The sequence below is a fragment of the Homo sapiens genome, chromosome 11 (assembly GCF_000001405.40).
Source record: "Homo sapiens chromosome 11, GRCh38.p14 Primary Assembly".
Lineage (NCBI taxonomy): Eukaryota > Metazoa > Chordata > Mammalia > Primates > Hominidae > Homo > Homo sapiens.
Window position 1 is genome coordinate 78,006,945 of NC_000011.10, and position 22,251 is coordinate 78,029,195.

The 22,251-nt window shown below is 46.1% G+C and overlaps 2 protein-coding genes and 1 long non-coding RNA gene across 6 annotated transcripts in view, besides 5 other annotated features; 1 reads left to right on the top strand and 2 right to left on the bottom strand.

The window, feature by feature from the left end:
• Window positions 1–8,770: 8,770 nt before the first annotated feature.
• Window positions 8,771–22,251, bottom strand: part of NDUFC2-KCTD14 (NDUFC2-KCTD14 readthrough) — a 64,148-nt gene continuing 50,667 nt past the window's right edge. For all 3 annotated transcript variants that reach the window (NM_001203262.2, NM_001203261.2, NM_001203260.2), the window contains one exon: window positions 8,771–10,326. Coding sequence is in view for 1 of the 3 variants with exons in the window: in NM_001203261.2 (NP_001190190.1) it covers window positions 10,292–10,326 (35 nt within the window). In the remaining 2 variants the exon portion in view is untranslated. The remainder of the gene's footprint in view (window positions 10,327–22,251) is intronic.
• The window catches only part of KCTD14 (potassium channel tetramerization domain containing 14), a 30,477-nt gene continuing 16,996 nt past the window's right edge, over window positions 8,771–22,251 (bottom strand). The window contains exons 1-2 of one of the 2 annotated variants that reach the window (NM_023930.4): window positions 16,216–16,332; window positions 8,771–10,326 (exon numbers count right to left, since the gene is read on the bottom strand). In NM_023930.4, coding sequence (NP_076419.2) covers window positions 9,649–10,326; window positions 16,216–16,305 — 768 coding nt within the window. In that variant the 5' untranslated portion in view covers window positions 16,306–16,332 and the 3' untranslated portion in view covers window positions 8,771–9,648. Of the gene's footprint in view, window positions 10,327–16,215; window positions 16,333–22,251 lie in introns of those variants that run through there. The other variant, NM_001282406.2, reaches the window with a different exon arrangement.
• Window positions 9,706–10,206: an enhancer, noted in NCBI's record as "H3K27ac hESC enhancer chr11:77727696-77728196 (GRCh37/hg19 assembly coordinates)". NCBI's record gives its function as "activates a minimal SCP1, AML or CMV promoter by ChIP-STARR-seq in naive and primed H9 embryonic stem cells {active_cell/tissue: H9 hESC(naive and primed)}" and the evidence as "EXISTENCE:reporter gene assay evidence [ECO:0000049][PMID:30033119]".
• Window positions 15,121–15,688: an enhancer, noted in NCBI's record as "H3K27ac-H3K4me1 hESC enhancer chr11:77733111-77733678 (GRCh37/hg19 assembly coordinates)". NCBI's record gives its function as "activates a minimal SCP1, AML or CMV promoter by ChIP-STARR-seq in primed H9 embryonic stem cells {active_cell/tissue: H9 hESC(primed)}" and the evidence as "EXISTENCE:reporter gene assay evidence [ECO:0000049][PMID:30033119]".
• LOC124902723 (uncharacterized) lies at window positions 15,599–16,778 on the top strand. The gene is made up of 2 exons (XR_007062795.1): window positions 15,599–16,077; window positions 16,590–16,778. It is a non-coding gene; the product is annotated as an uncharacterized LOC124902723 (long non-coding RNA).
• Window positions 15,689–16,258: an enhancer, noted in NCBI's record as "H3K27ac-H3K4me1 hESC enhancer chr11:77733679-77734248 (GRCh37/hg19 assembly coordinates)". NCBI's record gives its function as "activates a minimal SCP1, AML or CMV promoter by ChIP-STARR-seq in primed H9 embryonic stem cells {active_cell/tissue: H9 hESC(primed)}" and the evidence as "EXISTENCE:reporter gene assay evidence [ECO:0000049][PMID:30033119]".
• Window positions 16,259–16,826: an enhancer, noted in NCBI's record as "H3K27ac-H3K4me1 hESC enhancer chr11:77734249-77734816 (GRCh37/hg19 assembly coordinates)". NCBI's record gives its function as "activates a minimal SCP1, AML or CMV promoter by ChIP-STARR-seq in naive H9 embryonic stem cells {active_cell/tissue: H9 hESC(naive)}" and the evidence as "EXISTENCE:reporter gene assay evidence [ECO:0000049][PMID:30033119]".
• Window positions 21,539–21,833: a silencer, noted in NCBI's record as "tiled region #11011; K562 Repressive DNase unmatched - State 8:EnhW". NCBI's record gives its function as "represses a minimal TATA promoter and a strong SV40 promoter by Sharpr-MPRA in K562 cells {active_cell/tissue: K562}" and the evidence as "EXISTENCE:reporter gene assay evidence [ECO:0000049][PMID:27701403]".

A 22,251-nucleotide genomic window follows, 5' to 3' on the forward strand; every position in this document is an offset into this window, starting at 1 on the left:
GCTTGAGCCCAGGAGGTCGAGGCTGCAGTGAGCCATGATTGCGCCACTGCACTCCAGCCTGAGCAACAGGGCAAGACCCTGTCTCAAAAAATATGTAAAAATGAAAGAAAGAAAGGAAGAATCAATTGATGTGGCAAACTTCTCTGTTGTTTTATTTTATAAAATTGCCACAGTCACTCCAACCTTCAGCAACCACCATCCTGATCAGTCAGCAGCCATCAACATGGAGGAAGAGCCTCCACCAGCAAGAAGATTATGATTCAGTGAAGGTTCAGATGATGGTTGGCATTTTTAACAATAAAGTATTCTTAAATTAAGGTATATGCATTGTTTTTTAGACATAATGCCACTGTGTACTTAATAGATTATAGTATAGGCTGGGTCCAGTGGCCTGTAATCCCAACACTTTGGGAGGCCAAGGCAGGAAGGTTGCTTGAACCCAGGAGCTCAAGACCAGCCTGGGCATCATAATGAGACCTCGTCTCTCCGAAGATCAGAAAACTAGCTGGTCATGGTGGCTTGCATCTGTAGTGCCAGCTACTGGGGGCACTGAGGTGGGAGAATCACCTGAGCCCAGGAGGTCAAGGCTGCAGTGAGCCATGAACCCCAAGCCACTACACTTCAGCTTCAGTGAGTATAGTATAGTGCAAACATAACTTTTGTACGCAATAGGAAACCAAAAAATTCATGTGCCTTACTTTATTGTGATATTCGCTTTATCGTGATGGTCTAAAACTGAACTCACAGTATCTGTGAGATATGCCTGGACTAATATCCAATGTTGATTGAGCTTTTTCTAAGTCCCAGGTGCTGCCACAAGTACTTTTTATTCCATTTTATTTATTTATTTATTTATTTATTTATTTATTTTTGAGACTGAGTCTCGCTTTGTTGCCCAGGGTGGAGTGCAGTGGCACAATCTCGTCTCACAGCATCCTCTGCCTCCCAAGTGATTCTCCTGCCTTAGCTTCCTGAGTAGCTGGTATTACAGGTGCCTGACACCACATCCAGCTAATTTTTTTTGTATTTTTTGTAGAGACAGGTTTCTTTGCCATGTTGCCTGGGCTGGTCTCAAACTCCTGGCCTCAAGTGATCCACCCGCCTTGGCCTCCCAAAGTGCTGGGATTACAGGCATGAGCCACCACACCTGGCCTTTTTTCTTTTTTTTTTTTTTGAGACAGTGTCTCACTTTGTTGCATAGGCTGGAGTACAGTGGTGTGATCACAGCTCACTGCAGCCTCAACCTGCGCTCAAGTCATCCTCTCATCTCAGTCCCCCGAGTAGCTGGGACTACAGGCCGGTACAACCATGCCTGGCTAATTTAAAATTTTTTGTTGAGACAAGGTCTTATTATGTTGCCCAGGCAACATAATAATAGTGAATTTGAGCTCAAGTGAGCTCAAGTGATCTGCCCACCTAGGCCTCCCAAAGCACTGGGATTACACGCATGAGCCACCGTGCCCAGCCAGGTCTTTTTAAAATATCTCCATGTCTCTGTTCCATATATTCAATCTTTCCACTAGCTTCTTTAACACATACAATAGGGTTACAACCACTGTTTTAAGTCTTTGCCTACTATTTCTACCATCTCTGGTTTTGTTTATCATCTATCATCATAATTTCTGGATCAGTTTCTACCGATTAATTATTTTCCTCCTGTGGGCTGTATTTTTCCACTTTTTTTGCAAGCATTATAGTCCTAGACAAACTCCTCAGCTTTTTTTATAGGCATGGTTAAGTAACTTGAAAAGTTTGATTCTTTCACTGCTTGCTTCTTTTTTTTTTTCTTTTTCTTTTTTTTTTTTTTTTTTGAGACAGAGTCTCACTCTGTCGCCCAGGCTGGAGTGCAGTGGTGTGATTTCAGCTCACTGCAACCTCTGCCGCCTGGGTTCAAATGACTCTCCTGCCTCAGCCTGCCAGGTAACAGAGGTTACAGGCATGGGCCACCACTCCTGGCTAATTTTTTGTATTTTTATTAGAGATAGGGTTTCACTATGTAGGCCAGGCTGGTCTCAAACTCCTGACCTCAAATGATCCGCCCACCTCAGCCTCCCAACGTGCTGGGATTACAGGTGTGAGCCACCGCGCCCGGCCCTGCTTGCTTTTAAGCTTTAAGTAGAACCAGAACAGTATTTAATTTAGGGTAAATTTTCTCCACTGCTAATGCAAGACCTTTTTACTCTGAGTCCCTGTGAATTATAAGGTCTTTCTCTCTGGCTGTTGGGAATATGCACTTTTCCTGGTCCTGATCTCTGGACACTGTTCCTACTAATCTTTTCTCTACCCAGCTTTGGGTGGTTTCCTCGCATATGTGCACTGATGAGTACGGCACTGAATACTCAAGAGGGACCTCATGCAGATCTCCAGAGTCTTCTCTCTGTGGAGTCCTCTCTTCTCTGATACTCTGCCTTGAAACTCTTGTTGTTTGGCTTCCTGGGATTCCCAGATCTTTCTCTTCAATTCAAGGTAACTCCCAGTCTCTGCCTGGGTTCCCCTCCCTGCACCAGGCCTTGAATATCTTCTCCAGTCAGCAAGCTGGAGTAATCATAGGACCTATCTCATTTGCTCCCTGTCTCTGAGTTCCTTGTCCTTAGTTGCCTAATGTACAATGTGTTGAGATCTGTTGTTTCACATATTTTGTCCAGTTTTTCGTTGTTTCAGGTAGAAGGGTAAATCCAGTGTCTGTTACTCCATTTTGCCCAAAAAGGGACATCTCTAGGGATATTTATCACAATTGCTTTGAAGTTCTGCTCTCCATATCCTCTTTCCTCCAAGAAACATTCTGTTATTTTTGTTTCTTCCTATTATTTAATTTAATTAATTAATCTATTTATTTATTTATTTATTTATTTATTTTTGAGACAGGATCTCACTCTGTCACCCAAGCTGGAGTGCAGTGGTGTGATCTCAGCTCACTGCAGCCTCCACCTCCTGGGCTCAAGCAATCCTCGTGGCTCAGGCTCCCCAGTAGCTGGGACCACAGGCACATGCCACCGTGCCTGGCCATTTGTTTGTTCCTAATTTTAACATTATAAGCTTTCTTCAAATGTCTGTCTCTTGGCTGCGCACAGTGGCTCATGCCTATAATCCCAGCCCTTTGGGAGGCTGATGCGGCAGATCACTTGAGCCCAGGAGTTCAAGACCAGCCTAGGCAACATGGCGAAACCCCATTTCTACTAAAAATAGAAAAATTAGCTAGGCGTAGTGGCACACACCTGTAGTCCCAGCCACTTGGGAGGCTGAGGTGGGAGGATCACCTGAGTCCAGGAGGCAGAGGTTGCAGTGAACCAAGATCATGCCACTGCACTTCAGCCTGGGTGACAGAGTAAGATCCTGTCTCAAAAAAAAAAAAAAAGTAAGTTACTGAAAACAGCAAAAGAGCTGATTTGAACCTCTGTATAGGTATAGCAGAGCTTGCCGGTTACATCTCTAATATTCACTTTCTCCCTCTCTCTTAAAGAACACAATTGTGTGGAGATGGTATTATGCCCAGCACACACACACACAAACAAACACAAAAGCAATTACATTTTCCAGTCTCTCTTGTATACTGTGTAGAGGTGTGGCCATATGTCACAATTCTAGCCAACAAAATGTAAACAGATGTCATTGGTTGGGACTTCTGGGGAAGTCCCTTAAAATGAAGTGTATCTATTTTCTATTAGTGAATGACAAACCACTCCAAAACATAGAGGGGTTTTATTTATTTATTTTTCATTTTTCTATTTCAAACTACAATCATCAATAGAACAGAGAGGTTTAAAACATCATTATTTACTCATGATTCTGCAATTCGGGCAGGTCTCCACTGAGCAATCCTGGGGTCACTCACTCGGCTGGGTCATCTGGTAGTTCATTTGGGGCTTGATAGCCTCCTCTATTCCCCCTCTCATAACCTCTCCAGTGGAATTGCCTGGTTTTCTTTTATGGCAGTGGAAGCATTCCAAGAGAGCAAGGCCCATGCACAAATGCTTATGAAGCCTTGGCTTGTGTCATATTTGTTGATGTCCCATTGGCAAACAAGTCACATCACCAAGCCCAAAGTCAAAGTCGCAGAGGGCTATGCGGTTCTATCATTGAGCAGTGAAGCAGCCTACAGCTACTCTGGGAAGCATTCGTGTCGCCAGATGTGGAGGCAACCCTGGAGTTGGTGAAGGAGGCAGTTTTTTGGTAAGCCTGGAAGTAGTTGTAACACCACTTGCTCGATATGGGACCCTCTTAGGACATACCAAAGGTCTTGTGCTCAGAACAATCACATAGAATAGCAAGTTGGGAACTTTTCTATATATAATCCTCAAGCCTTTAGTTAAATGTTGATGCATATTATCCCTGGCATTAGCATGGTGTGTCCATGCTCAGACCAAAGTAATAAAGAGGAAAAAAAATCCCACCAGTAACGTCCATTGATGGTAGTTCTACATAGACCCTAGGAAAATCATGATCCGGGAAATGCAGCAATTTGAACAATGGGCCAAGTGGTACTGATTAGCCTGGAGCAAGGTAATGATTTAAAAAAAAAAAAAGGCTGGAACAAAGAATGATTCACACTACAAGTACACCACCACCAATCCCAAGGACTCCCAGAAGCAGCTGAAAAAGACTTTGATGGAGAGGGAAGTCAAAGTTCTTAGGCCAAGTAGATATGGACTTAGTGCATCAAGTAAGTTTGGATCAATATCAAAGTAAAAAAGGGAGACTGTTGTAGACTAAGAGACTAAAGCTGTTTTTCTCAAATTTTGATGAATTTTAGAAATGCCTGAGGAAGATTTTTAAAACCCAATGGTCAGACCACACCCAAAACAGTTAAATTAAGGTCTCTAGGGATGGAGCCCATATTTCTTAAGGCTACTTGACTGATTGATTCCAAAATGTGACCAAGGTGAGAATCTCTGAACTGAAGAAAACCTAACAACCAAGTGTAATGCATGAACTTTGATTGGACTTTTTAAAAAGACCATAAAATACATTTGTGGAACAATTGTCAAAATAGATAATACATTACATGTAATATTTTAGATTTGTTAATTTTTTTTCTTTTTTTGAGACAGAGCCTCTCTCTGTTGCCCAGGCTGGAGTGCAATGGCACGATCTTGGCTCACTGCAACCTCCACCTCCCAGGTTCAAGCAATTCTCCTGCCTCAGCCTCCCAGGTAGAGGGCACTACAGGCACACACCACCATGCCTGGCTAATTTTTGTATTTTTAGTAGAGATGGGGTTTCACTATATGGCCAGGCTGGTCTCAAATTCCTGACCTCAAGTGATCCACAAGCCTCGGCCTCCCAAAGTGCTGGGATTACAGGCGTGAGCCACCATGCCCAGCCTAGATTTGTTAATTTTTAAAGAAGTGATAATGTGGGCTGAGTGTGGTGGCTCACACTTGTCATCCCAACACTGGAAGGCCGAGGTGGGAGGATCACTTGAGCCCAGGAGTTGGAGACCATCCTGGGCAACATAAGGAGACCCCATCTCTACAAAAAATTTTAAAAATCAGCCAGGCATGGTGGTACACACCTGTAGTCCCAGCTACTGGGGAGGCTGAGGTGGGAGGATTGCTTGAGCTCAGGAGGTCAAAGCTGGAGTGAGCTGTGATTGTCCTACTGCACTCCAGTCTGGGTGACAGAGTAAGACCCTGACTCAAAAAAAAAAAAAAAAAAAAAAAAAGAAAAAAGAAAGGAAGGAAAGAAGGAAGGAAGGAGAGAGAAAAAAGAAATAATGGTAATCGTGTTATTCTTAGGAGATGTAAACTGAAGTATTTAGGTGGAGGGATGTTAATATCTGCAACTTACCTTCAAATTGTTCAGCGAACGATTATAAATGTATATATGCATGTGTATAGAGAAAGATCGCATAAATGTGTCAAAATAGTAATAACTGGAGGAGCTAGGTACAAAGTTCAATGTGGGCCAGATGCAGTGGCTCATGCCTGTAATCCCAGGATTTTGAGATGCCAAGGTGGGCAGCTCACCTAAGGTCAGGAGTTCAAGACCAGACTGGCCTACATGGTGAAACCCCATCTTTACTAAAAATTTAAAAATTAGCTCGGCGTGGTGGCACACGCTTCTAGTTCCACCTATCCGGGAGGCCAAGGCAGGAGAATCACTTCAACCCAAGAGGCGGAGGTTGCAGTGAGCCGAGATGGTGCCACTGCACTCCAGCCTGGGCAACACAGTGAGAACCTGTCTCAAAAAAGAAAAAAATTAAATATACTACTCTTTTACCTTTTCTGTGTATATGAAAACTTTCCAAATAAAAAGTTTGGGAAAAGTTATTTGGGGAATTAACATATGAACACCTGTACTCATAAGCAGATGAAATATCCCTCTTGGAGTACCATCTGAGATTTTTTTTTTTTTGAAACAAAGTCTCACTCTGTTGCCCAGGCTGGAGTGCAGTGGGATGATCTCAGCTCACTGTAACCTCCATCTCCTGGGTTCAAGTGATTATCCTGCCTCAGCCTCCAAAGTAGCTGGGATTACAGGCATGTACCACCACACCTGGCTAATTTTTTTGTATTTTCAGTAGAGTATTTTAGTAGAAAATTTAGTTTCACCATGTTGGCCAGGTGGGTCTTGAACTCCTGACCTCAAGTGATCCACCTGCCTCGGCCTCCCAAAGTGCTGGGATTACAGGCGTTAGCCACTGCACCCTTCCCCATCTGAGTTTATTAAAACTCATGTAATCACGTATATCTGCACCAGGGCAAGACTAAAGTGAGGTCAGCGAGAAGCCTAGTCCTGGCCCTGATACACACCATAGATTAGAACAAGTTGGTAATTAGAATGGGGTCCATACCAATGAAGAGGAGTGGTCACCCCTGGTTTGGGTCGACCAGTGAACTGCTATTGGCCTGAAGTTAATGAGACTCTACAGCAGTTGTCAGCCTTAACTGCACAATGAAGTCATCTGAAGGAGCTTTAAAAAATATTCTTTCCTGGGCCCCACCTCTAGAGATTCTGATTTGTTTCAGGTGTTGCCTGGGTATGCCCTACATTGGAGGGTTTTAACTTATCCCAGGTGATTCTAATTAATGTGCAGCCAAAGTTGAGAACCATTGCTCTTCATACTGCCTTATACAACCTGGACAACTATAAAGGGATTGGTAAGGTTCTCAGGGAGAACAGGTGTGTGGTTTTACCAGAGTTGGAAGAGACTTTTTTATTATCATTTGAGACTCAGAGAGATTCTAGCAATAGGAGGAGCCAGAAAGTTCTTTTATTTTTTTAATTTTAAAATTTAAAAATAGAGACAGAGTCTCACTATGTTGCTCAGGCTGGTCTTGAACTCCTGGGCTCAAGCAATCCTCCTGCCTCACCCTCCCAAAGTGCTAGGATTACAGGTGTGAGCCACCATGCCTGGCCTAGAAAGTTCTCATACCATGGAGACTAGACCTTTTTTCTCAAGGGCAAGGGACAATATATTTAAAATACTTGGGCATAGGAGCAACCCCACAGGCCCAAACCCGGAGCTCTCAAAGGGATGGGATGAATTACTGTTGTCAGTTGTAAGTATTAGAGACAGCTGCTCAGCCTTTTGAAGAAATGGCAAGGAACAGAAAACTGAAAGTATCCTCAAGGAGTCAGATTCTAACCCAAAAGAAAAGTTTCTGGACATTGGTTGAAATATACATGACACTGCAGGAGGGGAAGGTATCACAAAGTGAAAAATTCAGTGGTTTGTGAAAGGTCTGGCTAGACACAGTGGTTATCCCATTAGGAGGCAAAGCCAGGTTCTTATAGGTACACATGGTCTCTCTTGAGTAGGAGGTCACTTCCAGATCTGTCACCACAGAAGAGGTGTCCCAAAGGGAAAAGAAATAAAGCGAGAGAGGATTGGGTAGGCAGTACTCATTCTAGCTTGCCTGGGACTTCCAAGTTGGTTTTATTTATTTATTTATTTATTTTTTGAGACAGGGTCTCCCTGTGTCACTTAGGCTGGAGTGCAGTGGCGAGATCTTGGCTCACTGCAACCTTTGCCTCCCAGATTCAAGCGATTCTCATGCCTCAGCCTCCAAGTAGCTGGGACTACAGGCATGTGCCACCACACCTGGCTAACTATTTTTTTATTTTTAGTAGAGACAGTGATATGGTTTGGCTGTCTCCCCACCCAGATCTCATCTTGAATTCCCACATGTTGTGGGAGGGACCTTGTGGGAGGTAATTGAATCATGGGGGCAGGTCTTTCCCGTGTTGTTCTCGTGATAGTGAATAAGTCTCATGAGATCTGATGGTTTTAAAAAGGGGAGTTTCCCTGCACTTGCTCTCTCTTGTCTGTTGTCATGTGAGATATGCCTTTCACCTTCCACCATGATTGTGAGGCTTCCCCAGCCACGTGGAACTGTAAGTCCATTAAAACTCTCTCTTTTGTAAATTGCCCAGTCTCAGGCATGTCTTTATCAGCAGCGTGAAAACAGACTAATACAGATGGGGTTTCACCATGTTGGCCAGGCTGGTCTTGAACCCCTGACCTCAAGTTCTCTGCCTGCCTCAGCCTCCCAAAGTGCTGTGATTACAGGCGTGAGCCACTGCACCCGATGAGACTTCCAAGTTTTCATACTGGAAGTCCTGTATCCCAAGAAACCCTTTGGTCCCAAGAAAGAAACCCTATGTCCCAAGAAGGTCCCAGACAACCCACATAGCTGATCAAGCTACTATGCAGGGAAGGGGGTCATATAATTCAGACCTGGACTTGGAGAAGAATGAATGTCTACATGTATCCTCCTTTAGAGGACAAGTCCTGTATTAGGGTGAGAAGCAGAACCAAAACTGAGACTCTCGTGCAAGTGGTTTATTGATGGAGTGCTCTTAGGAGAAGGGGAGTGAGGGAAGCAGCGTAGGACAGAGGAAAAAAACTGAGTAAGAATGTGCTCTCAGAAGAAGACTGACTTCAGCTTGATTCCATGAGGAGCTCTGGGAAAGGAAGTTCCTTGATGTAAGAGGTCAGTCTTTTGTACCTCCATACAAGAGGTAGCAATTCTTTTCTAGAGATGGTCTCAAAATTAGAATACATCAAAATCACTTGGAGGGTTTGGTAAATCAGAATGCTGTGCCAACCCCCAGAGATTCTGATTCAGTAGGTCTGAGGTGGGGCCTGAGGATTTGTATTTCCAGCAAGTTCACAGGTAATGCTGATGATGCACTTTGAAAACCTCCACTCTAGAGAAGAGGACAGCTCTGAGGTGTTAGCACCCACAGCATCTCGCAAAGGGGATCAGGAAAGCACCTACTACATGAAGGCACATGCCAGGGACAGATGGATTGGACCCCAAGCTGGGGCTATGTAGACTACATCTTTAGGTCAGAACATCTAGATTCACAGTATCTTGTATGTTCCTGTTGTCATCTCACATCTCTTGCCAACGCATTGTTGAAACATTCTTACTTGGTCTTGTTATTGGACTTCAAGAGAAGGGTCTGGGAGATACATGAGGCTTTGAAAAGGAAGTAGCTGCAAGTTGCTAGGCAAATATAGTGGCATCAGTTGCAATGGAGTGGAAAGTCCTTAAACGAGTGATCAATATTTAGTGGCAAGACTCTAGACCAACCCTGGAAATTGCCTGATGTTTGTGAAATTAAAAGAAAATGGCTTTGATGGCAACTTTTAATTTCATAAGCCACGCCAGAATTCATAACAGTCTCTGCTCCTGAGGATCACCACCAGGTGAAGGTGAATGAATAAATGTTAAAATGGAATTCGTTTCTTTTGGTGGGGTACGTCAGGTAGAACTTGGAGAATACCTTGTACCCCTGGGCCTTAATGTCCATCTCCAGGCAGTGCATGAGGTCGCTGTTGTCTAGGACCGCCTTCCAGGGCCCAAACTTGACAACAGACTTGAACATCTTCTTATCCTGCAGAAAACACAGGACCTCTGAATAATATGCATCCTGCTCCTCAGTTTCCACCAGGCACACAAGCACGCTGGACTTCCGTGCTGTTATGGCTTCTGCACGTGCCAGGCGCACCATGAGCTCCAGGTTCTCGCTGTAGCCCGGCACTTGCAGCAAAAACTGCTTCCGAGACACCTGCTCACCAAAGATCTGTGGCATGTCCTCCAGCAGCTTGACCAAAGGCTTGATTTCGTAGAACTGAGCCTCACGGTACACTTCAGGGATGTGCTGTGTGGGCACTTGCCCAGTGCGCAGGTAGTCCAGGATGGGTCTGAAATAGGTGCTGGGGCGGTCGATGAAGAAGCGGCCCTCCGCGTCCGTGGAGGCCTTGGCTAAGCTAGAGAACATCTCTGCCAGCTTTGAGCCCGGAAACTTCCTCAGGGTACCCAGGGTGGTGGTGTGGAACTCACCCCCGACGTTCAGCTCCACAACAGTAGACATCTGGGGGCACAAGAGGCAGAGTAAACCAACACGCCATCTCCCCTGAGCGCATTACTTATTTTTATCCAAAGGATAACTGGATAAAAAACTTAGGGGAGCCATAATGATTGGCTTCAGCTAGTGAAAGGCCCATCTTACTAAAGAGGGTTATATTTATGCTGTGTTGCTCCAGGGGGTGGGCTTTTTTTTTTTTTTTCGACGGAGTCTCGCTCTGTCACCCAGGCTAGGGTGCAGTGGTGCAATCTCGGCTCACTGCAACTTCCACCTCGATTAAAGCAACTCTCCTGCCTCAGCCTCCCTAATCGCTGGGACTGCAGGCGCCTGCCATCATGCCCAACTAATTTTTGTATTTTTAGTAAAGACGAGGTTTCGCCATGTTTGCTAGTCTGGTCTCAAACTCCTGACCTCACGTGATCCGCCTGCCTCAGCCTCCCACAGTGCCCGGCCGAGGGTGGGCATTTTAAAGAGGAAGAAAGATTTCTGTTTGAAAAAAGAATACCCATTCAAGCATCTTAATTTTAGGTCATAGAATGTTATGGGAGGAGGCCAGGCACGGTGGCTCACGCCTGTAATCCCAGCACTTTGGGAGGATGAGGCAGGCAGATCACCTGAGGTCAGGAGTTCAAGACAAGCCTGGCCAACTTGGCAAAACCCTGTTTCTACTAAAAATACAAAAATTAGCCAGGTGTGATGGCACGCGCCTGTAATCCCAGCTACTCAGGAGGCTGAGGCACAAGAATCACCTGAACCTAGGAGGTGGAGGCTGCAGTGAGCCAAGATCACCCCACTGCACTCCAGCCTGGGTGACAGAGTAAGACTCTGTCTCAAAAAACCAACAATAACAACAACAACAATAACAGAAGAACGTTATGGGAAGAGGCTGCCATGGAAGGAAGTCTCAGCAATGATACTTCCAAAGTCTGTGGCCTTTGGCAAGCCTTTTTCCCTCTTACAGCCTCAGTTTCCTCATCTATAAAATGAGGATATTGGCCGGGCATAGTGGCTCATGCCTGTAATCCCAACACTTTGGGAGGCCAAGGCAGGAGGATCACTTGTGGCCAGGAGTTGGAGACCAGCCTAGGCAACATAGCAAGACCCCATCTCTGTTGTTTTTTAAATAGATTTAAGGAAAAAAAATTTTTTTTTTAAGTAAAGGCCGGGCATGGTGCCTCACGCCTATAATCCCAGCACTTTGGGAGACCGAGGTGAGTGGATCACTTGAGACCAGGAGTTCGAAACCAGCCTGGCCAACATGGTGAAACCCCATCTCTACTAAAAATACAGTAATTAGCCAGGCATGGTGGCACGTGCCTATAGTCCCAGCTGCTCGGGAGGCTGAGGCAGGAGAATCGCTTGAACCCAGGAGGCAGAGGTTACAATGAGCTGAGATCATGCCACCGCACTCCAGCCTGCGCGACAGAATGAGAGTCCAACTCAAAAAAAAAAATAAGAAGAAGAAAGTAAAATGGGGACGTGGAGTTGTTATGAAGTCAAGAGTTTCCAACCTGGGATGCTCAACTCTGATCTAAGATATAATAAAAGCTGGGGGTGAAGTAGGAGGGACAATTCCAACATTTCAGAAAGACTAAAGAAACCATACATGTGTTCATTCAGGAAGAATTTCTTGGGTATTTACTATGTATCCACATCCTGTGCTGGGAGTTGGGGACAAACATTCTTATTTCATATAGATTAGAAGTTCTGGTTAACAGTTCACATGCCCTTGATTGATTTAAAAATGGAATTTTTTCTTTTCTTTTTTTTTTTTTTTGAGACAGAGTCTCGCTCAGTCGCCCAGGCTAGAGTGCAGTGATGTGATCTTGGTTCACTACAACTTCAGCCTCCCAGGCTCAAGCGATTATCGTGCCTCAGCCTCCCAAGTACAGATGTGCACCACCATGCCTGGCTAATTTTTGTATTTTTAGCACAGACTGGGTTTCACCATGTTGGCCAGGCTGGTCTCGAGCTCCTGACCTCAAGTGATCTGCCCACCTCGGCCTCCCAAAGTGTTGGGATTACAGGCGTGAGCCACAGCCCCGGCCAGAAATGAATTTTTTTTTAAGAGATGCGGTCTTGCTCTGTTGTTGCCCAGACTGGGTGTGCAGTGGCATGATCATAACTCACTGCAGCCTTGAACTTGGGCTCAAGTCATCCTCCTGCCTCAGCCTCCCAAGTAGATGGGACTACAGGACATTCAACACTGCATCTGGTTATGTAAAAAAATTTTTTTAGAGACGGGTCTTACTATGTTGCCCAGGCTGGTCTTGAACTCCTGGCTTCAAGGCTTCCTCCTGCCTGAGCCTCCCAAGCAGGTGGGATTACAGATGCAAGCCACCACGCCCAGCAAAAATGAAATTTGTTTGATGAATGTTTTTCAAAATATAGGCCCATGAGACTTAAATAATAACGGGAACATTCTTCGTAATGAAAAGGCCGGTAACTCTACATATTGTGGGTGTAAAACTGCTTCACAAACTGCGAAGTGCAGTGCAAATGCAAGTTAAGTTTGGTTGTTCAACAAAACTTTTAGAGGCCACCTCTCTGTGCCAGACCCTGGGCTGAGCACTAAGACTGGTTATTAAGTGATGATGTCAGAATCTGAACTCAGGTCCGTTTTACTCCAAGCTTGAGCTCTTAGTCATTACATAAATTACCTTCAGTCTTCCAATACCTTCACTCTTCATTCCCTTAGTGACTCATTCATTCAACAAAATGTATGTTGGGCCTATTACATGCAAACCTTGTGCCAAACAGAAGAACAGGACACAGTCCCTGCTTTCAAGGAACTCACAGTGGAGACAGCGAAATAGACGGCTTAAGCATGTAGGTGCTGAGAGGGAAGACTGAAAGGTAGGAGGGGTCAGGTCTTTTTGTGGATGTGGGTTGGAGGCTGTCAGAGAAGGTTTCCTAAGGGATGTGATGGCCGCTGCTGCTGAGGAATAGATGCATAGTGTTAGAGGAAAGATTTAACCACAAGAGTGGGGATGGGGACAGGGCTCAGGAATGTCCCTCAGTCTGATTTAGGTGTGTCCTCATTCTCAACTGGTCTGTGGGCTCTCCTAAGATTAAAGTACTGGAGTTAATAGAGCCAAAGTCAACCGAACTGCTGGAGAAATCTGATTGCCATGACAACATCTCCTACCAGGGGACAGTTCTGCTGACTGGAAGGGAGAAGGCAGAGGAGAGGACGCATCTTGACAGCAGCCAAACAATAGAGCTGAGAAAAATAAGCCCAGAACCTCTGATTCTTTCTCCCATAAACCTCAAGGCCCCTTGGCAGGGCTGTTTGGTTAACCCTGAAGTCACCTCTGTAAAGCTCGCAGTTAAATGCAAAGCTGCAGAGTTTAACCCTTGAATGGACCAATATGTTCTCATTACTCCTACACCACTGAAAGCTCTCAGGTCCTCCTAATGTCCCCATGTTACAGGCAAGGAAAGCTCAGACAGAAGTCACACAGCTAGGATGTGATGAAGTTGGAGCTGAGATGATACCTGTATTAGCATGACTCCAACACAGTAAGGGTGCCTCACCGCCATCCTTCCCAACATCCTGCCCCCCTACTGCCAATACTTTGATATGTGCCCAGGGCCCTTTGCTTTCCGTCTCTGGAACTAAGCTTAGTCATCTGTGAAATAGGGAGGCAAAATGGACCAAAAGAATGCTAAGCTTCCCCAGCTCTGAAAGTCTAACAGATCCAATCACATCAAATATCCTTTCTGAAGCTAATTTCCAGATGCTTCAAAAAAACAGGCTGGGTGCAGTGGCTTACGCCTGTAATCCCAGCACTTTGGGAGGCCAAGGTGGGAGGATCACTTGAGGCCAGGAGTTCAAGACTAGCCTGGACAACATGGCAAAACCCTATCTCTACTAAAAATACAAAAAATTAGCTGGGCCCTGGTGGTGCATGCCTGTAATCCCAGCTACTTGGGAGGCTGAGAATTGCTTGAACCCGGAAGGCAGAGGTTGCAGTGAGCCAAGATTGCACTACTGCACTCCAGCCTAGGTGACAGAGGGAGACCCTGTCTCAAAAAAAAAAAAAAAAAAAAAAAAAAAAAAAAGTTTCCTGCACTGACATCTTCAGCTCCATTTCTTTATCAAACAAGACCTCAGCCGTGTTCCTAAGCTTCTTTTTGTTTTTTGTTTTTGTTTGCTTGTTTTTTGTTTTGAGACAAGGTCTCACTCTGTTGCCCAGGCTGGAGTGCAGTGGTACAATCTCGGCTCACTGCAACCCCCACCTCTTAGGCTCAAGCGATTCTCCTGCCTCAGCCTCCAGAGTGGCTGGGACTACAGGTGTGTGCCACCATGTCCAGCTAATTTCTCTATTTTTTATACAGACAGGGTTTTGCCATGTTGGCCAGGCTGGCCTCGAACGCCTGAGGTAGGTGGTCCACCCACCTCTGCCTCCCAAAGTGCTGGAACTACAGGCATGAGCTACCACGCCTGGCTGAGAGTACGTTTTCTGAAGTACAAATCTGATCCTGTCACTCCCTGCATTAAACACTTGAGTAACTTTTCATTCCCTTCCAGATAAACAGCAGACTCCATAACAAGGTTTAGAGGCCCTTTGCAACTAGGCTGCTACTTCACCCCTCGCAATCAACTACCAGAACTGCCTGCTGCTCCCCACTCCTCCAATCCAGAGCTGGGCAAGCCCCCTCACCTCCAGAAGCTCACTCACTTGGCCATCCGCACTCCTTTCTCTGACCCCACTCATCCTTCAGATGAATTCCTCTGGGAGTCCTTCGGGGTGGGTTGTCTCACTGTGATCCCAGAAAGTCCTACACTACTATACTTCCACTGGCCTGGCAGTTCTTCCCTTGCAATTCCCTGTTTCTTCATTGACTGTGAGGTTCCTGGCCAAGTGCTGTGTTTCATGCCTGTAATCCCAGCACTTTGGGAGGCTGAGGTAGGAGGATTGCCTGAGCCTAAGAGTTTGAGACCAGCCTGGGTCTCACCAACATGGCGAGACCCCATCTCTATTTTAACAAACAAACAAACAAACAAAAACTCTGTGAGGCTCCTAAGGGAGGGGAATATCCTCTGATTTACAGGAGCATCTAGTATTCTGTTCAAGGCCAATCTTGCCCTACCTGGCATCATGCACAGTGCCTTACACTTCCCCAGTAATTCATTCAGGCATTTATGGAACACCTAGGGTGGTCCTGGCACTAGGCATGTGGCTTTGTCAATAGCCAACAACAATGACGTGATCATGGCCCTATTAGAGAGAGCCACGCTGCCCTGCTGCTGGATCTGCTTTCTCTTCCTCCAGGTCTTCAGGATGACTCTCAGTGCAGGAGAGAACCCGAATGTTCTGCTCCCAGAGTGCACGCAGCCTTTTCCCCATCCTCCTCCCCAACTCCCCTCACCCAAGCTGGGGACCAGGCAGGCAAGCAGAGGGATTTGGGACCCAGCCAGAGGGCAGGGGCAGGCTGAAGACCCAGCCAAGGGGCAGGGGCAGGCTGGAGAGGGCTGCAGGTGAGGGAAAGATCCTCTGGCCGAGCTGGTTGGATGGGCTTCTCCCACCGGGAGCAAGGGAGAAGGTGGGGCAGAGGAGGAGTCGTGGGCTAGGACAAGCCGGTGGGGAAGAGACAAGGGAAAGGAACTAAAGACCCAATGTAGAGGGAGGAAGCAAAAGGGCAAAGAGGAAAGGCTGGACAGAGCCAAACCAGAAAGGGACACCGAGGCGCGAAAGGAGAGTGATCCCAGCAGGAGGGACGGCAAAGATTGAAGAGAGCGACCAGCCCGAGGTGAAGGGGGACAGCGCGCCAGAAGCAGGGGGCTCGGGCGTCTGGGAGGGACGGGCAGGAGAAACTGGAAGGGAGGGAAGAGGCGGAGGGAAGAGGCGGAGGACAGAGGCGCGGGGACGCAGCTAGCCTCGCACTTACCGTTGGCCGCCTGGGCCGGGGGGACTGGGGCAGAGGGGTCTGGCTCGTCATCCTGCCCACTGGCCGCTCCACTGCGCAGCCCTGCCACATGCAGATCACTTGGGCCAGCGGAAGTGCCCCTGGCTGCCCGCCCCTAGGTGGGAACACCGAGGCTCAAGGCGGGACGGGGCTGAGCCAGGCGTGGCTTGCAGTGAGACTGGGCCAAGTGCAGAAAGAAATGGACAGTCTGTCTATTTGGGGCTTCTAAAAGTTGTTAGGCCCTGAGAAGGGCTGACTTTGGAGACCGAGAAATGGAGCAGACCCCTTAAGGACTGACCTTTTGATATAGATTAATTTCCTTCCTTTTCTTTCTTTCTTTCTTTTTTTTTTTTCAGAGACAGGGTCTCACTCTATCGCTCAGGCTGAAGTGCAGTGGCGGATCAGGCTCACTGCAACCTCAACCTCCTGGGCTCAAGTGATCCTCCCACCTCAGCCTCCCAAAGTGGTGGGATTACAGGCCTGAGCCACGGCAACTTGCCTCTTCCTATATTTTCTTTTACGCTTAAATAAATTACTTAAACATATTGCTTGAATCCCGTTATTAAAGTTGACATTAGTTAATGCCCCTCTCTGGGCCTCGGAGTTCCCAGTAGTGAAATGGGGGAGGCAGAAGGAATTGACATTGACTGACATTGACAACCAGAGACTTTCTATTCCCTACAGTCCTAGGGAGTGAAAGATCCGCAACACCCATTTTACAGATCAGAAAACTGGCGCTCTAGGAGGTAGGGTGGTGTTAAAATGTAAAGTCTGAGGATCAACAAAACTTTTTTAAGAGTATACTTGAGTAACAGGCAATTCTTGAATCGGGGAACACCAGATGGAAAGAGGTTGAGTGTTCCCATGACAATGCATCAGAGGCAAATATTTATGGGGAGAATATGGAAGCAAGATATTTTGTTGGGGACAGGCATGGTGGCTCACGCCTGTAATCCTAGCACTTTGGGAGGCCAAAGCGGACAGATCATTTGAGGTCAGAAGTTCGAGACCAGCCTGACCAAAATGGTGAAACCCCGTCTCTACTGAAAATACAAAAATTAGCTGGGTGTGATGGCATGTGCCTGTAATCCCAGATACTGTGGACGCTGAGGCAGGAGAATCGCTGGAACCCGGGAGGCAGAGATTGTAGTGAGCTAAGATTGCACCACTGAACTCCAGCCTGGGCAACAAAGATTCCCTCTCAAAAAAAAAAAAAAAAAATATATATATATATACACACACACACACACACACACACACACACACACATATATATATATATACATATATATATATAAAATTGGTTACAGTTAAAAAATCTCCTTTTTTGGTTTCCTTTGTTGAAAAGTCCACAGCTACTTAATTGTATGTTAGTTGGCTGCTTGTGGTTGGCTAATGTTAAGTTTCGTTTCTGTCTAACATTAGCATTTACCAGAAATGACTCTATTAGTCAGGGTTCTACAGAGGGACAGAACTAACGGAATAGGGTTGGACACGGTTGCTCACGCCTGTAATCTCAGCACTTTGGGAGGCCATGGCAGGTGGATCACCTGAGGTTAGGAGTTCGAGACCAGCCTGACTAACATGGCGAAACCCCATCTCTACAAAATACAAAAAATTAGCTGGGCGTGGTGGTGGGCACCTGTAATCCCAGCTACTTGGGAGGCTGAGGCAGAAGAATCGCTTGAACCTAGGAGACGGAGGTTGCAGTGAGCTGAGATCAAGCCATTGCACTCCAGCCTGGGCAACAAGAGTGTAATCCCATCTCAAAAAACAATAATAATAAAATAAAACTAATGGTATATATACATACACATATATTTGTATATATATATTCCATTACTTTTTTAACTCCCCGTTATATATATACATATGTGTGTATATATACACACACACATATATACACACGTGTGTGTGTGTGTGTGTGTGTGTGTGTGTGTGTATATATATATATATATATATATATATATATATATATAAAGGGGAGTTTATTAAGTATTAACTCACACAATCACAAGGTCCCATAACAGGCCATTGGCAGGCTGAGAAGCAAGGAGAGCCAGTCCGAGTTCCAAAAATGAAGAACTTGGAGTCTGATGTTTGAAGGCAGGAAGCATCCAGCACGGGAAAAAGATGTAGGCTGGGAGGCTAGGCCAGTCTCTCTTTTCACATTTTTCTGCCTGCTTTATGTTCTAGCCATGCTGGCAGCTGATTAGATTGTGCCCACCCAGATTAAGGGTGGGCCATCCTTTCCCAGACCACTGACTCAAATGTTAATCTCCATTGGGAACACCCTCACAGGCACACCCAGGATCAATACTTTGTGTCCTTCAATCCAATCAAGTTGACAGTCAGTATTAACCATCACATTGACCCAAGTTAAGTTTTGCTTATGTTTGCAAATCCAGCAAGGCTGAGTTCCCTTATGAGGCCTAACTAGCATTGTCTAGCCAGGGATTCTTCAGGCCTGATCTCCATTTTAATTTACTATAACAGTGGCCAGTGTAGACTATTTAGCCAGCCCAGGGCAGCTGCTTGGAGTACAAAGCATGCCCACTGGTGAAAAGAGTTAGGTATCTGTTTTGTGGGGTTGTTTTCCTAGAGTTAAAATATAACTCTAAAGGAGAGGGAGCATAATTTCCCACTCCTTAAGTGTGGGTTATGCGCCGTGACTTCTTCCAACGAGTACAATATGGGAAGGAGGAAAAAGAGAAGAAACTTTACATTGGGGAAACTGATCAATACTACTCCAGCCAGGTGACCAAAATCAGTTGCCAACAGTTATCGATCATGACAACAGTATGTGCTTGCTGTAAACCAGAAAGTATCTGAGACAAGTCTCAACCAATTTAAAAGTTTATTTTGCCAAGGTTAAGAACATGCCCACGATACAACCTCAGGATGTCCTCAGGTCATGTGCCCAAGGTGGTCAGGCTACAACTTGGTTTTATATATTCAAGGAGACATAAGACACTAGGGCCACGCATGGTGACTCACGCCTGTAATCTCACCACTTTGGGAGGCCAAGGCAAGTGGATCATTTGAAGTCAGGAATTTGAGACCAGCCTGGCCAACATGGTGAAACCCCATCTCTACTAAAAATGTAAAAATTAGCCGGGCATGGTGGTGCGTGCCTGTATCCCCGGCTAGGGCTACTAAGGAGGCTGAGGCAGGAAAATCACTTGAACCCGGGAGGCAGAGGTTGCAGCGAGCTGAGATCGCACCATTACACTCCAGCCTGGAAGATAGAGTGAGACTCCATCTCAAAAAAAAGAAAAGAAAAGAAAAGAAAAGACATCAATTGGCTAGGCATCAGTGGCTCAGTCTATAATCCCAAGGGAGTGGATCTGGGAGGCCAAGATGGGAGGATCACTTGACCCCAGGAGTTCAAGTCCAGCCTGGGCAACATGGTGAGTCCCCATGTCTACAAAAAATACAAAGCTTAGTCAGGCATGGTGACATGTGCCTGTAGTCTCAGCTACTTGGGAGGCTGAGGCAAGAGGATCTCTTGAGCCTAGGAGGTCAGGGCTGTAGTCACCTATGATCACACCACTGCACCCCAGCTTGGGCAGTGGAATGAGATCCTGTCTCAAAAAATATATATCTCTGTTGGACTAGAGATTGTAAATAAATATATAAGGCCAGGTGTAGTGGCTCACACCTGTAATCCCAGCACTTTGAGAGGCCAAGGTGGGCAGATCATTTGAGGTCAGGAGTTTGGCACTAGCCTGGCCAACATGGTAAAACCCCAATTCTACTAAAAGTACAAAAAATTAGCTGGCGTGGTGGCATGCGCCTGTAGTCCCAGCTACTCAGGAGGCTGAGGCAGGAGAATTGCTTGAACCTGGGAGGTGGAGGTTGCAGTGAGCCGAGATTATGCCACTGCACTCTAGCCTGGGCAACAGAGCGAGAATCCGTCTCAAAAAAAATTAATTAATTAATTAAAATATAATAAAAATGAAGATACCAATTAATACATGTATGACGTACACTGGTTAGGTCCGAAAAGACTGGACAGCTGGAAGGGGTTGTGGGGGCTTCCAGGTCATAAGCAGATTCAACGATTTTCTGATTCTGAGGCATGGAAACTCATGCCTGTAATCGCAGCACTTTGGGAGGCTAAGGTAGGCAGATAGCTTGAGCCCAGGAGTTGGGGACCAACCTGGGCAGCATAGCAAGACCCCATCCCTATTTTTTTTTTTTTGAGGCAGAGCCTCACTCTGTCACCAGGCTGAAGTGCAGCGGTGCAACCTCAGCTCACTACAACCTCTGCCTCCCAAGTTCAAGCAATTCTCCTGCCTCAGCCTCCCGAGTAGCTGGGATTGCAGGCATGTACCACCACAACCAGCTAATTTTTGTATTTTTAGTAGAGACGGGGTTTCACCATGTTGGCCAGGATGGTCTCGATCTCCTGACCTTGTGATCTGCCTGGCTCGGCCTCCCAAAGTGCTAGGATTACAGGCGTGAGCCACCACTCCCAGTCAGACCCTGTCTCTACTCTTAAAAAATAAAAATAAAAAAGCAAGGATTTTCTGCTTGCCAATGGGTTATTATCTAAAGACCTGAGATCAATAGAAAGGGATGTCTGGGTTACTATAAAGGGTTGCATAGACCAAGGTTTTATCATGCCGATGAAGCCTCCAGGTAGCAGGCTTCAGAGAGAATAGATTGCAAATATTTCTTATCAGACTTAAAGACTGACAGACTTTGTGCATGACTGACAGACTGTTCTGTCAGTCTTAAGGTCTCTGTTTTGATGGTAATACTGGTCAGCTGTGCCTGAATTCCAAAAGGGGGAAGGGTATAATGAGGCATGTCTGACCTCCTTCCAGTCATGGCCTGAACTAGTTTTTCAGGTTAACTTTGGAATGCCCTTGGCCAGAAGGAGGGGTCCATTCAGATGGTTGGGGGGCTGAGACTTTCATTTTTTGTTTATAGTACCGAGTATATACCCTTGATGTGATGTGAGGAAAATGATCTTCCTCCCCAAAACTCATAACCTCAGTTCAATCATGAGAAAAACATCAGAGAAATTTCAATAGAGGGACATCCTATAATATAACTGACCAGTACTCCTCAAAACTATCAAGGTCACCCAAAAGAGGAAAAATCTGAGAAACTGTCACAGTCAAGAGCATCCTAAGGGGCCAGGAGCAGTGGCTCGCGCCTGTAATCCCAGCACTTTGGGAGGCTGAGGCGGGTGGATCATGAGGTCAAGAGTTCAATACCAGCCTGGCCAGCATAGTGAAACCCCATATCTACTAAAAATACAAAAATTAGCCGGGCATGGTGGCATGCGCCTATAGTCCCAGCTACTCGGGAGGCTGAAGCAGGAGAATTGCTTGAATCCGGGAGGCGGAGGTTGCAGTGAGCCCAGATCACACCACTGCATTCCAGCTTTGGCAATAGAGCAAGTGTCCATCTCAAAAAAAAAAAAAAAAAAGCAGCCTGAGGGGACGTGACAAGTATATTGTTATGTGGAGCCAGGCATGGTGACTCACACCTGTGATCGCAGCACTTTGAAAGACCGAGATCAGCAGATCAGTTGAGCCCAGGAGTTTGAGACTAGCCTGGGAAACATGGCAAAACCCCATCTCTGCAGACAATACAAAAATTAACTGGGTATGGTGGCACACGTGTGTAGTCACAGCTATTCGGGAGGGTAAAGTAAAAGGATCACTTGATCCTAGGAGGCAAGAAGAGACAAACCAGGTTATTAAATGACATGCATAAAAATGAGGTCAGGCACAGTGGCTCAGCACTTTGGGAGGCCGAGGTGGGCAGATCACTTCAGGTCAGGAGTTCGAGACCAGCCTGACCAATATGGTGAAACCCCATCTCTACTAAAAATACAAAAATTAGCTGGGCATGGTGGTGCATGCCTGTAATCCTAGCTACTGGTGAGGCTTAGGCATGAGAATCGCTTGAACCCGGGAGGCGGAGGTTGCAGTGAGCCAAGACCATGCCACTGCACTCCAGCCTGAGCAAAAGAGCAAGACTCTGTCTCCAAAAAAAAAA